Source organism: Homo sapiens, chromosome 2 (assembly GCF_000001405.40).
Source record: "Homo sapiens chromosome 2, GRCh38.p14 Primary Assembly".
NCBI lineage: Eukaryota > Metazoa > Chordata > Mammalia > Primates > Hominidae > Homo > Homo sapiens.
This window is the reverse complement of record NC_000002.12, coordinates 210,563,200-210,577,537: the sequence shown is the minus strand read 5'-3', so window position 1 is coordinate 210,577,537 and position 14,338 is coordinate 210,563,200. Positions and strand designations below refer to the sequence as shown.

The 14,338-nt window shown below is 34.2% G+C and overlaps 1 protein-coding gene across 5 annotated transcripts in view; it reads right to left on the bottom strand.

Moving 5' to 3' along the window:
* Positions 1–14,338, bottom strand: part of CPS1 (carbamoyl-phosphate synthase 1) — a 201,423-nt gene that overhangs the window by 101,570 nt on the left and 85,515 nt on the right. For all 5 annotated transcript variants that reach the window (NR_161225.1, NM_001369257.1, NM_001122633.3 and 2 more), the window contains 3 exons: positions 4,131–4,240; positions 1,048–1,192; positions 28–117 (listed from right to left, as the gene is read on the bottom strand). Coding sequence is in view for 4 of the 5 variants with exons in the window: in NM_001369257.1 (NP_001356186.1) it covers positions 28–117; positions 1,048–1,192; positions 4,131–4,240 (345 nt within the window). In the remaining variant the exon portion in view is untranslated. The remainder of the gene's footprint in view (positions 1–27; positions 118–1,047; positions 1,193–4,130; positions 4,241–14,338) is intronic.

Sequence of the window (14,338 nt, the reverse complement as noted above, 5' to 3'; positions counted from 1 at the left end):
TGATGGATGCCCTATTACATTTCTTACCTTTTCTTCCTGTAGCCATTGCCCTAAACTCTTGGTAGCCAGCCAGTGGTTGTAGTCTTTACTATAATCCAGCACCAGCAAACCTGAAACCTAGAAAGACAGACAGTCATTTTAAAGAGGTTATCACAAGATATTATCCAACTCTTGTGAGTCAATTTGCATTTGTTTTTAAGTTTTATGATATCCACTGACATGAGACTTAGGATTTTTAAAAACAAGAGGCAAAAAAAAAAAAATCAATGCCCTTCTTTTAAAATATGTAATTGTTGCATTAATTATCCTGAGAGGGAGCAGGCTTACCTGGCTTGGTAAATCCTGAGACTAAACTAGGTCCCCCTTCTGACATGCATGGCATTTATCAAGAATTTAATTAATAATTACTGGCTTAATGCACATGATGAACAAAATCATTTTTAATTTATACTTAAAGCAGAGAAAAAATTGATGGGAAATTGTGAGAAATAGTGAAAACTAAGTTAAATGATCAGTTGAAGTCATTCAAAAATGGAATGGTGAAAAAATAGTATTGAATTTGGAATATAAATTTTTGAATTGTTTATATGATATATATTCCTAAGAGAGTATCCAAAATTACCTTGTTTAGGAAATCTTAATATGTTTACTTTTAGACTGGCATAAAAGCTATCTTTAAATCATCCCCTAGAGGCTAAGATTAAAAAGCAAATAATTGATACAGAATTCATTACCAAATTCCTTTTAAAAGGTGATTCTTCCCCAATCCTTTTATAGCATAGTTGTTATTTGAACTTATAACATTTTTTTCAAGTTAAGCCAAGTTTCATCCAACGCATTAAAATTCAAAGTGCCCTGAGAAATGAAACTCAAAATACTGTCAAGTTAAAGATTATTCTCATGTACCTAGGAATAAGATTGAATACATGAGCTTAATGATTTGTACTACCGTATTGAGGAAGAAAGTTTGGCCATCCTAATTCTTAAGAATAAGTCAACTATACTCCCTCAAATTGAGACTTTTTAAATGGCCACCACTGGTACTACCTTGATTCCATTAGACTCCAAATATTTGCTAAGTCCCAGTTCATCCAGAGCAGTAGTATCAGGAGCTCCACCATTCCCAATAATAGGGTTGGCCATTGTGAGAATCTGTCCTTTGTAGGCAGGGTCAGTAATAGCTTCTGGGTACCTGGGTAAACATGCCAAAAAATTATCAGCAAATAATGTATGTAACTACAAAGCTATAATCTGCATACATGCTCTGAATTATTTAACCCTTGAAAATGAGAAGAATCCAACAAGAATGTCTCTAGATTTTAACGTACCTGGGGAAATGTTATGACAGAATATAAAAATTTATACCACGATGTCATTGATATAAAGAAAAACCAACTCGTGAGTACCAAGGTATATTTTCATATAAGTTTTATTCCCTCAATTTCTTTAAATTTTTTAATTCCTTTAAAAATCCCTTGCTAGCATCTTAATTTTTAAAATATCCCTGCTCTATTTAAAGTTTGCAGATACTCTAAAGATTTCCCTGGCCTACCAGATATCATTGAGCCCAAACTGATATTTACTGTTGAGGGCTGCCAGTTTCACCAAGATAGTAACCATCGAAACATTGAAAAGTTTTTCTTGATATTTTTTAGGATACTGAAGAGTAGCCTGATTGTGTTAGTGGTGGTTGCATGAGTATATATGATTATTAAAATTCAATGAATATTTAGAATAAGTGAGTTAATTTATATGAAAGAATAACTCAATAAAGTTGATTTTTAAAATATTTTAATTTTAGAAAGAAGCATATAAGTTTGAAAGTTATTATCTGCTTAGAAAAAAATTCATCTCGCAGACTTGACTTGAGGGATTTCTGACTTCTAAGTTAAAAGATGCCAACTAACTATTTTAAAGTACTGATATGGAATTAGGGAGGAATGCAGGAGGGCTATATTTTTAAGTTTGGGTGAGAGGAAAAATACAAATATATCGTGTGTGTGTGTGTGTGTGTGTGTGTGCATATACATATCGTGTGTGTATATACACACACACACATATTTCTTATTCTTAAGAAGAAGAAACGTTATTCCCATGAATACCAGGAGCTATCTACACTTTTTCCATGCACTGGAATACACTGCAATTGAGGTTTTTTTCCTGCTCTCTTCCATGTCCACTTTCTGCAAAATGAGTTAAGCTAAATCCTTTTTTGTGGATTACAACTGAAAGTGAATTTAGGTGCTCAGGGGCACAGAATCAACGACTTTGAAACCAATAAAGTTTAACGCAGGCAGTAGTCAACATAAATTCTTCAACACCATCCAGACTAACGCCTACCAGAACTAACCTTGTCAACAAAATACATAGTCTTTCAGCTCTGCAATCCCTAAGGTGACTCGAGGGCTGTGGTGTTTTTCCGCAGCTTCCATCAGCTAATTTCTCAGATGTCTCTTATCTGTCAGGAACTGATAATTTTTTAACCAAGGCTTGCCCACAATATAAATGCATTGCTTAAAGATGAAAAACAAAATAACCCCTTTAATTATCAACCACCTTACTGAGTGAGGCACGTAATGAATGAAAGAAGCATTTCTCAATGGAAAATAGGGTCTATGGACTAATCTTATAGATGAATACCTTTTCCTACATCAAAAAAAAACTTTAATTAATTTGATTTTACTTCTCTTTCTTCTTTCTTTCCATAAAAGAACTTACCATTCCCTTTAAACATATGCTTACAATACTCTTCAGTAAATGAATAAATATACTTTGTTTTAGAGAACTACAGTGTTGGGAGCAAATTAATCCATCAGCTCCTGTTTGACTTTTGTGATGTGACAAGATTTATTACCTGTAAACTATCACAGAGAAGAAAACTCTAGTGCCCTCCATCATGCTGATCTATATTAAACAGTTGTTTGTTGGCAGGTATATTAACACAGCTAGTAATTAGTGCTGTCGAAAAGTTTAAATAATTGCCTGGTGAAGCAAAACTTTGCAAACAGATTTCATACACTGTAATTTAATGTTCTCACCAGTGGAACTATTTAAAAACCCCTCTAATATTCTTCATTTCACACAGGGAGGCAAGAGTTTAAGAAAGAATATAAATTAATAATATAATGGAAGTTTGGTCAATTAGTATATTCAGTATCAGTGAACCTAATGCCCCCTTGTCTTTATGAGACTAACTTGAATTTCTCTAAAGAATTTATCAAATATTTCATAGAATACTAGTTGGATTGAATCTGTATTGGAAACCCCTTCAATCAATCTAGTCATGTTTTTAAGACACATAATTGTTTAAATCCCCAGCTGTAAATTAGTATTTAATCCAACCCCCTCACTTTTTATATGAAGAAACTAGAACTCAAAAAGCTTAAGTGATGTTCCCAATATTATATAATTAGTTATCCTTAGAATTGAGACTAGAACTTCAGCCTCCTGATTCCCAGGTGAACAAACATTTATTAACTAGGTAAAAGCAGCCACTTAATTTCTGTAGCAACTCTCGTTTTCATTGCTGTACATGTTAGCAGGTCTTAAATACTAAGGCAGGTCACAGTTGATAATTATTGAAAATATTAGATCTACACAGATGCTCCCTCATTGATTAAAGATAATAAATGTATCTGTTATTTCAACTTTCTTACTAGAGTGCAAAATTATATAAAATACCCAAGGACTTTCTAATCTTCTTATAGTATTTCATATTAGATGTGCAAAATTGATTCTTTCCTAATGAAATAGCACTAGAATATACTATCTATTCTTTTCCTTGCTCCGATTTTCACCTTAATCAGACCCATACCTCCCCTTACAGAAACCATTTGGTAATCTCACATAACCTGTGTCCTCACAACCTAAGTTTCTAGAATTCATTTTGTTCTTTTTATCCAGGGGACCACCAGTGTGCCCATGTTGTCTTTCATTTACAGTAGCAGGAAGTTCATGTCTAACTTTCTTTCAAGGACGGCAGCAGTAGGCTATGCACAAGGCATGGTGCAACTTCAGGACAATACGTAGTCTTACTACGATGCAGTGATTTCAACTTACCACCATGAGTGAGATCTTCCAGTTATTTCTCTACTAGAGGAAAAATAAAGCCTTGGAAAAGCATTACTCACCCTCCCAGGCCAGTATTAAAAACCACTTCACCAGCAACAGAGGATGGATGGCCAAAGGAGTAACCTTTCATCTTAGTTCCATCTTCCAGGACAATGTGTGCTGTCTGTGCCTGAAGAAACAGTTGCATGAATCTTAGCAGAATACATAATACAAAACACACAAAAATATTCCAAAGGTAAAATACACAGACATATTAAATAAAGGCACAGTATATTTAATGAAACCATAATGCCCAGATTTCCAGTTGCTTTCCTATTACTTGTCACTTTTCTTCAAATATATAGCTCTTGTAACTGGCAGATGTTTTGTTTTGTTTTCTTGGAAGAGGAACTGAAGCATGCAGATACATTGTCTATTCTAAGTTTACTTGTAGAGTTGTTAACAAGCCAGAAATACTTCACTTTAGCTGAAATGTTATGTATCTGTCTTTTCCCCTTTATCATTCCCTAGCTTTGCTCAAGAATAGCTTTAAGGAAAGTTCATGAGTTTGCAAAAACATTGTGAATTGTACCATACAGCTCATCATCACTCTGAGATTTAGAGCCAGAAGGAATCTTCAAGATTATCTATCAAACTGTGTTCCACAGAGCTCTTGTGTTTGATGGAGTTGTCCCAAGGGTTGCCCTTTCCATGCCAGAATTATGTTCATGAAGAAACTGAAACTTTATCACTCTCTTAATGCTGACACAAAACCAAGCACTGTGGAACATTCTAGAAGTATATTGTATTTTGCTTTTTTATTAGAGTTAATTATATCCATGTCTACTTCCTTCTCTATACTATGGCATTCGGAATTTGATAACTTTGCCATAATAATCTTTGAGCCAGTGTCTACCAAATTCTTAGCTAAGAAGAGGGACAACTGGAAAAACATTTAAGAAGCAGACATCATCTACTCCTTATAAATACTCTAAATTCTGTTGTTGAAACCATTTAAATCTAACTCTCAATTTCCGTAAAATTCAAGGGAGAGAGAAATGTTTTCAACTACACCTTAGGAGACAAAATACAGATTCTCTAAGAAACTCTATAGGACAAACTAATTAGAATGTGGTTTTTAAAAATTAAAGTATAAAGAAAAACATATCTGCAATAATTGAGGAAATTAGAATCATAAATTGATATTTGATTATACTAAGTAATTTTTTAAGATTGATCTTCTTAGGATTGTAGTTACATTTTTAAGTTGTTGCCTTTTAAAAGATATACACTGTAATATTCAAGGATAAAATAGTATGATATCTGAGATTTCCTTCAAAGTAATCAGCAGTCAGGGGGATAGACAGGCATATAGAGAAAAGAAGTCTGGCCATGAGTCGAATTTCCTGAAGTAAAGGAGTTCATTGTGCTATTCTTTCTGCAAGGTTTAAGTGTAGTCATCGAAGACAAAAAAAAATACTAATTCTTCATTTTACTTCCCTTACAGTTTTAGGACTGAGGCCAAAGTGCCTAATCCTTTTAAATCTTGCCACCCCACCTCCACTCCCATTACACATACACACACACACACACACACACACACACACACACACACACACACACACACACACAAACTTTAGTAGGCAGCAGGAACTCCATAAATGATTTCTAGACCTTTGTTTCTATGTTCCTCTTGCTTTATAACATGCACTCAATTTTTCAAATGTTAAAATGAAGAAAGCCCGTTATTTTTCTATAATAATTCTCTCTGTAGAAATAAGATGCCTCTTTTAGATCCAAAGCACCCAAGTCTCTTGTCATTAGAATGATTGTGTTCTGCAATGTAAAATAATGTCTTGATTACCTTTAAACCAATATACTATATTCCGACGTCTTGTTTATGTGTGAGTGTGTATACCTATTAACTTACATTTACACACAAAACTATGTTAGTGTTTTCCATTAAAATTGATAGGATATGTTTAAGATGTTCCTCTCAACAGATAATTTTATTAGTTTTTTTAAATCAGAGGTACGATATGTGAATTTCAAGTTTGTATTTCTGAGAAAGATTGAACAATGTACTCTACTGTACATTTTATGTGTGTTTGTATGTGTGTGAGTGAGCATATGCGTGTGTTCCTGGGCAAGATTAGCCAAAAATATTTTGTCCTTTACTAGGCTTATCAAATTATCTTTGAGTTAAAGATTTATCTATTTCCTTCGACCCAGTGTTTGAAATCTCAAGCTTGACACTTTAAATAGTTGGAGTTTGTCTTCACTAAATTTAAAAATACTTTAGAGTTACTCAGCACAAAGGAAACCACAATAATTTATTTATTTATTATTTATTATGAGTGAAACCAGACTTCTATGGAAGAAATGATCTTAATACAGAAGTCTGAATTCTGCTTCTGTATCCAGGAAATCAGCTTCGCATGTTTCTTCTGATAATGTGCTATTCTGATTCTAAATTTTGTTTTAATTTGCTAGTTTTTGTCTAATTACAATTCAAGACAGAAGTTGAAGATTTTAGAAAGTAAGAGTGATAGTATTCAGTGTATTTCTAAAGATTATTATAAGCTATGCAAATATCTCTGCTAATGGGTCTGAATAGAAGTGTGTTTATTAGGAAAACTCCCCAGGTAACTCTGATGTGTTTTATTAGGTGAAACCTCTCGTCTAAGTAATGAAAATTTGCCATCGAAAAATATTTTCTACTGGAAATATTGTTTTTTTTGTTCTTGAGGAAATCGTGTGTAAACCTCCATGCTTTTACAAAATGAAAAGAAAAAGAAAAAAATTTAGATAATATGTAACTTTGATAGAACCTAAACCAACTGTATTTAGTTGGCAAAATTTGAGTGTAGACTGTAAATTTCAATAGTTTTCTACATATCAGTTTATCTGTGCTACTCTGAGACATGCTTGCTTAAAATATTACCTTTGTTTATATTTTTATTTTGCTTTTCTCTTTTCTCATCTGAGAATTTCAAATTATCCCATATCTGGGTTAGACACTTTCTGATCATTTTAAAGAAGGGTAAAAATTAGCATAAGAAAATCAACACTTGTGAGCCTATTCCTACAATTCTGTTTGGTATTTTTCTCACTCCCTTCATGAAACTAGTTTTCTATTTTGCTTTCCATCTCTGTAGTTGAAGAGACATTTGCTATTGCGTGAAATAGTCCCTGAGATTGTGTTCAATATGTCTTTTTGCTGCTTTAATTATATTTTTGGTTCTTTTGGCAGTTTTTATAGATCTTCCAATCCTCTTTCCCACTACACATTATATTGTTACAAAGCCTCTGTTTACTGCCTAAAGTACTCTCTATATATCTCCTAACTACACTGGCCCCTGATGCATTTAAAATGATGAGTGCCAATTGACTTATCTATGAATTGATGGACAAACACTGAACAAAGAGCTATTATTTGGAATCCTTTCTTCTAACTAACAGTTCCCCAAATGCTATTTCATTCCAAGGAGTATAAAAGAAATCACCTTGTTACTATCATAAGATATTTTAGTATCCTCAGTCCTCGTTGACAGAGGTCCACAGGCTAGGAATTAGATTATAACATTTAAGTATAATTTAAGTGCCTACTGCCAGAGCACGTCTTACTTTGAAAAGGGGAAGTACAAAGGAAATCTTAATGAAAAGAAGAGTGTATTCTTGTAGAATGTCAGGAAAAGTAACCAAAGGATTATATAAATGTGAGTTCTATAAAATAAAGGACCTTATCATGACATGATCCCTATGTGTTTAATAAAAATGTATATGCCAATAAGACCATTTAGACATTCAAGTCTCAGACACTGAACTCCTACCAGGTGTCAAGCACCTTGCTAGGCTCTGTAGATAAATGGATGAATGTCTCCAGTCTTCTCGTTTAGTAAAAGGCTAGATAAGGGAATGGATTACAAAACAGAGAAAACTTCAATAAGGATATCACTGAGGCGTCACTGAAATACGTGGAAATACAAAGATAAATATTTTTCCCTTGAGAGATTAAGCTTTAACCAAAGAATTTGCCCTTTCTTTTCCACTGATGTTTTAAGCAATAAAAATTAAAATTTCAATAAAAAAACTTGCCAAATTTTGTATTAAAAATCCAAAATTTAAAGATTCCTTCCTCTTGGCTTAGATGTCATTTTCTCGGAGAGGTCTGCCTTGATGGCCTCATTTAAAATTACAGTATGTTCCCCAGCCCTCTTTCTCCTTGGTCTGCTCTTTCTTCATAATACTCATTACCTTTTAACATACCATCTAGTGATTTTTTTATTATCTATTTCATCACATTAGAAAGTGAACTTCATGCAGGCAGAGTATTGGGTCTGCTTCTTGCACTAGTGCACCTCCAGCCTATACCAGTGGCTAGCACAGAGTAGACAAGTCACTAAGCTTTGTTCACACTTTAGTGAAATTACTTTAGTCAGATAATCAACTGAGTATTTAGCAGAATGTTTCTAAATGATTAAATAGTGAATTTGATAAGAGAGGAAAAGTTATAGTAGAAAAAAAAAGCATATGCTCTCCTACCCCACACCCATCCTCCTGATTATTTCTTTTAATTCTGAAAATATTAAACAGTAATTTTTTCATCTTACACTGCATATAATTTTTTATTTTAACCATGTTTCAAATTCTTAATTCACTTGTTTTATTATTGGTGGAACTTATCTAAAATGTAGATATCTAATGCAACGTTTTTTCTAGCAGTGGTTAGTCTTACGAATATTTTAAAACCTTAAATATTAAGTTTCTTGGAGTCTCAACCTCTCTCCCTTTGTCATATTTTCCTAGTGTATCTTGGAGTCACAACTGTCAAGTCACATCTGGTCCTACAGGCTAGTTATTTAAATAATACTCCAATTAAAAATAGTTCTACCTCATCACATAGTATCTAATAATAATAATGGCTCTAACTAATAAATAGTTACCTATTGGTTTTTAGAATTAACTTCACACTATATGAAATTGCATGGCCACCCAAGACAAAAATCCCATCATCACCTGCTATTGCCTCCTACTTGTTCTGCCTGCCTCCAGTCTCTCCTTACTTCTACCTGTCCTATGAAATATAGTTAAGGCTTTCTTAAACATTAATTGGGTGACACCATTCCCCAAATTCCTCAATTCACATTCAAAGTCCTCTCATCTGGCTCGCTCTCTATATGGAATACCTTAGATTCCCCACCTCTCTGTCAGTCCTTTGTGCATAAATGTCTTCCTCGTTGCCTTTTACATCCTGGTACTGCTTCCTAGTACCCATGGTGTGTACTAAATCAGAATTAATCACTGATTTTCTTGTGCTTCCACTGACTGCATTTGGTGTATACTGTTGTGTGTTACCTTTTAATTGCTAAAGGTATTTATCTACCGTACTAGATTTTAACTTCTCAATGTTACATCTGGAAAACACAATGCCTAATTCCATGCTGTATCCCCACTGAAATAGCCCACTGTTGTCCACACAGTAATGTTCTCACTACACAGTTGGTGAATGCATAGAAATGTACTTCATTATGTGATATTAGCATGTTACAATGCTGACACTATGGTGTTTTCAAAATAGTTATTTGATGCTCACTGACTTCTGGTCATTTTACTAATTTTCATCTTCTCCTCTTGAAAGCAAAGACAAATATTTCACATAGGTATAGTTCATGCTAAAAGATAGAAGATGAAAGTAAGGAATGAGTTAAGGCTGGGTGGCAATTGCTGCCCAAAAAGTACCCTTAGGCTTTCTTCTACCATTCAGGTGTCATATAAGTAATGCCTTCAGAAGAAGACCCAAAAAGGTGATTTCTAAATGTCATTCTTTAGGTTTCCTCATGAATTGTTTCTATCATTAATATTAATAATTACCTATGTTATGTAGAAATCTAATCCTCCATCACTAGGGAAAAGAATAAAGCTGCATTCAGTATATATAACCCAAACATTCTCTTTTTCTTCCTTTACTTTTCATCTAAAATGCTTGCCAAATTTTACTGTATGTCAGCAAAAAATTTGTTTGTTTTAATTCACTGATGTGGTCTCATGCTTACAATATTACATTTCTATACCAAGTCCCCAACTATGTTATAACTAATAATAATTCTCCCTCTATTAAAAATACTGAGGCTATTATATTTTTACTGTTTTTTGTTGTTGAGATCTATGTATAATCCTGGTACATCTTTGGCATTCAGTAAATGTTGGTATAATTAATTTTGGAAATAGTAATTAAAGATAACGTATACTTTAAACTTACACTAGTGTGAGTTCAAATGTTAAAATACCTCCCTTAAAAAAGCTGTAATACTGATATTTGGATAAAGTAAAGCGTTAACACTTCTTAAGCATGTCTGGTAGACGTAGATTGACCTGTCACTATCCTATTTCTACCTTCTGCCATTACTTTACTGATAACCTATTAAAACATAAACTGGGTTGCATATATAATTATCTATGTTTATTAAAGTCTATATGCAGTTGTACAAATAAGTTGAGAATTTGGATTTGAATAATAAATTTATACTGTTCTGGGAAAGGTATCTTACTTCAAACAGAATTATGAAGCTATGTTGGAAAAGTAAGGTTTGGGAGCATGTTGTGTCACCGAGAACTCCATTCTGATCAATTCCCTATGACATCCTTAATAACAGTTAACATGAACGTACTGAATACTATCTTTAAAGCCATTAGTGGGTTTTCTCATCTAATCTTCACAAAAAATAATGATGTAGGTAATATTGAAATCTCCATTTTACACTTGAACTAACTGAGCCTCAGAGAAGTAAAGATCATTCTATTAGCAACTGGAAGAGCAGCGGTTTCTGAACCCAGTCTGTTTGACTTATAACCTCTTTTTCTTTTTCTAAGCTTACTTTTATTTCTGCTTTCCAATTTCGTAAGTGAGGATTAAAAGAAATTTAAGCATGAACTCTATTTAAATTTATTTATAAGAGCCTTAATTCAAAATTGCCATGGATAAGCCACAACAGGCCCAGGTCAACCAAGAACTACCTATCTATAAATCTGTAAATTGTCAAAGTGAAATGTCAAGTCATGAATTACCTGAGTCATTATAATCTGAGGAGAATCAGCAGGTTTCGAGAACAATTTGCACTGATCCTAGGCCCTTGAGTTCTCAAGCACTGAAGATTGTTGGAACCCTAGATGCTGTGATGAATAAGGAGATCCACCTCTCAGTCCCCCCTCCCTTTTCCCCAGTGATGGAGGATTCAATTTCTAGATAACATAGATAATTATTCATATTAATAATGGAAAAACTTGCTGCCCTGCTGTGAGGAGTGAGGTCAGCAAACCATCTCCTGCTGTCAAATTTTTCAGGGTCTATCTCAGCTGTAGAGGGCTGCATTGCCCCATGACTTTCTTGGAATACCCCATGACCAGTGTCTAAGTTAGGCCTGGATAGAAAGGTTCAGGCCACATCCAGGAAAGTCTGGTGGGCAGCAGCTTCCTATCCCGTTGGCCAAGGCTTTATCAAAACTGCATTACAGTTTAGTTCTCTGTCCAGTTCTACTTCCTGAAGCTTCACAGATGCTGATCCCTAATAGAGAGCATGCTCCCCAAACATCATCTCAGCATTTGTTTACAGAGAACCTAAGTCATGCTAGGCACTTAAACCAAATGATCAGTCAAAGTCCTTATGCCAAAGTTAATGTTACTTCCAAGTTGCCTGATGTTCAAGAGTGGAGTCCACATGTGAACATTCACTTTATTTGAACAACCAAGCACAAGTTTAGCATGCAACTGCCTAAAATAAAATTCATACAGAGAGAGAGATTTTTCTGTACTTTCTAAAAATCTCATGTTTTTATGAGATTTTGTTTGAATCTCATAAAACAAAGAAATACGTTTAAACTTTTGAACCAATATGTTTAAATTGTGGCTGCAATTATTAACATTATTTCCATCTTTTTGAAATTATGTTTGTATGTTTTTCTTCTCCCACCTATGTAATTATATTCATAAAACATGTAAACATACTCCAAAGAAATAGGCCAAGGATTGTAGCTAATATGGATATCAAGAAAAATGCCTTAAGGTTACTTTCCACTAACAGTTTGGCATTTTTTAGTCTGGAGCCTACACGTATTGTGAATCTGGGAGCCAATCAGGTTATAAAATAAGCGGTGAAAAATTGTGTTCTCTTGTTACTTCATATAAATTTAAAAATTAAAGATTAAATTACTAGTCTCTACGGCCTAGTAATACTAAATGTTTCCTTTGTTAGAAAATTTATTGGAGGAAGATTCATAAGACTGCAGATTTTTTCACACACAATATTTAGAAGGACTAAAACGGAATTTTCCTATGTATATGTAATTGCTCCATGTTTAATCTTACTTTATAATTTTATTTAGTACTCCTATTTCTAAATTAAACTGAATTACAAAAATAGCTATATGATCTCCATTCTCATATTACTTTTATTTTTTATTTATTTATTTATTTTTATTTTTATTTATTTATTTTTTGAGATGAAATCTCTCTGTCGACCAAGCTGGAGTGCAGTGGCATGATCTTGGCTCACTGCAACCTCTGCCTCCTAGGTTCAAGCAATTCTCCTGTTTCAGCCTCCCGAGTAGCTGAGATTACAGGCACTTTGCGCCACCACACCCAGCTAATTTTGTATTTTTAGTAGAGATGGGGTTTCACCATGTTGGCCATGCTGGTCTCAAACTCCTGACCTCAAGAGATCTGCCTGCTTTGGCTTTCCAAAGTGCTGGAATTACAGGTGTGAGCCACCAAGTCCGGCCCCCATTCCTATATTACTTTTAAAATGAGCATTCTAGGCCGGGCGCGGTGGCTCACGCCTGTAATCCCAGCACTTTGGGAGGCCGAGGCGGGCGGATCACAAGGTCAGGAGATCGAGACCATCCTGGCTAACACGGTGAAACCCCGTCTCTACTAAAAATACAAAAAAATTAGCCAGGCGTGGTGGCAGGCACCTGTAGTCCCAGCTACTCGGGAGGCTGAGGCAGGAGAATGGCGTGAACCCCGGAGGCGGACCTTGCAGTGAGCCGAGATCGCAGCACTGCACTCCAGCCTGGGCGACAGAGCGAGACTCCATCTCAAAAAAAAAAAAATCATTGTTAACTAAATTTAATGTTGCAATTCTTAATATTTGTAAAGTCTGAGATTTCTTTCACAGGTTATAAGTAATTTTTAATGAAAATACATTTTTGTGAGGGGGGGTTACATATAAGTAGAAATTCCAATAAACTCTCAATTGTTTTGGTTTGTCTGCCGTGGATGTTGATATTATTGTTTCACCATTGTCAAACAATATTTCAATGTTCTAATGATGTTACAAGATAGAATACTGCAAGCTCTGAAATTTCTCTAAAAATCTCATCTCTTTTAGGGGTTTTAAATTTTCCTCACAATTAAAATTCATTGTAAGCCTACATTTATGGATATATTTTCATTTCTTAGTAAGATGATTCATAAACTTTATGGGACCACAAATAAGTGACTGCAATTTTACCCTTTAATACTCAGTCTGAGATTCAGTTTAAAAGGGTAGATGTTTCAAAGTGTTTTCCAGAATCAGAATAATGCAACAGCTATTAATGAGAGTCACACAGCTACATTCCCCTTGAAAAAGGTTTGAGCATCTGTCCCTGGTGCTATGCTAAACTGATTGAGAGGGCTTAGTCTTAGGAAGTAACAGTCAAAATTCAAACATAATTTGTAATTTAATCTATAAAAGTTTTTGAAGCAGCCTAGTGTTTATCATTATTGTTAGGTTCTCCTTTGCATTCAGTATTATGTTATTAAAAATCATCTACTCATTGCTCATGTATTGTTTCACAACCCATCAGCATTCTGAACTAATTCTAAGGACATCGATCCTTTACTTCGAACCAGTTTTCTTCGGGTCTTTTATATCAAGATGGAAAACAAGTCAAAATGAGACTTTTCTTGCAGCCTAAAATTGCATTAGGCTTTTGTATATGTGGAGCTTACAGGACTATAAGAGGAAGAAACACATTGAAACTGAAAAACAGCATGTTTTGTTACAAACACATGACAATATTTAGGTTGAAATGGAAGAAATACGTCAACTGTAAACAGCATTGCCCTAAAATGTCCTATTTATATAATTGTTGACAGCCATATAAAGCAAGAATCCTTCCTTATGCTTTGATTTAAACAACCTATTCTCAAAAAAAGAAAAGGAAAAATCAAATTTGTGTCGTATTGCCATAACATTCAGTATGTAAATGAGCCCTTGAGTAAGCAATAAAATAACAGCAGAAGAAAT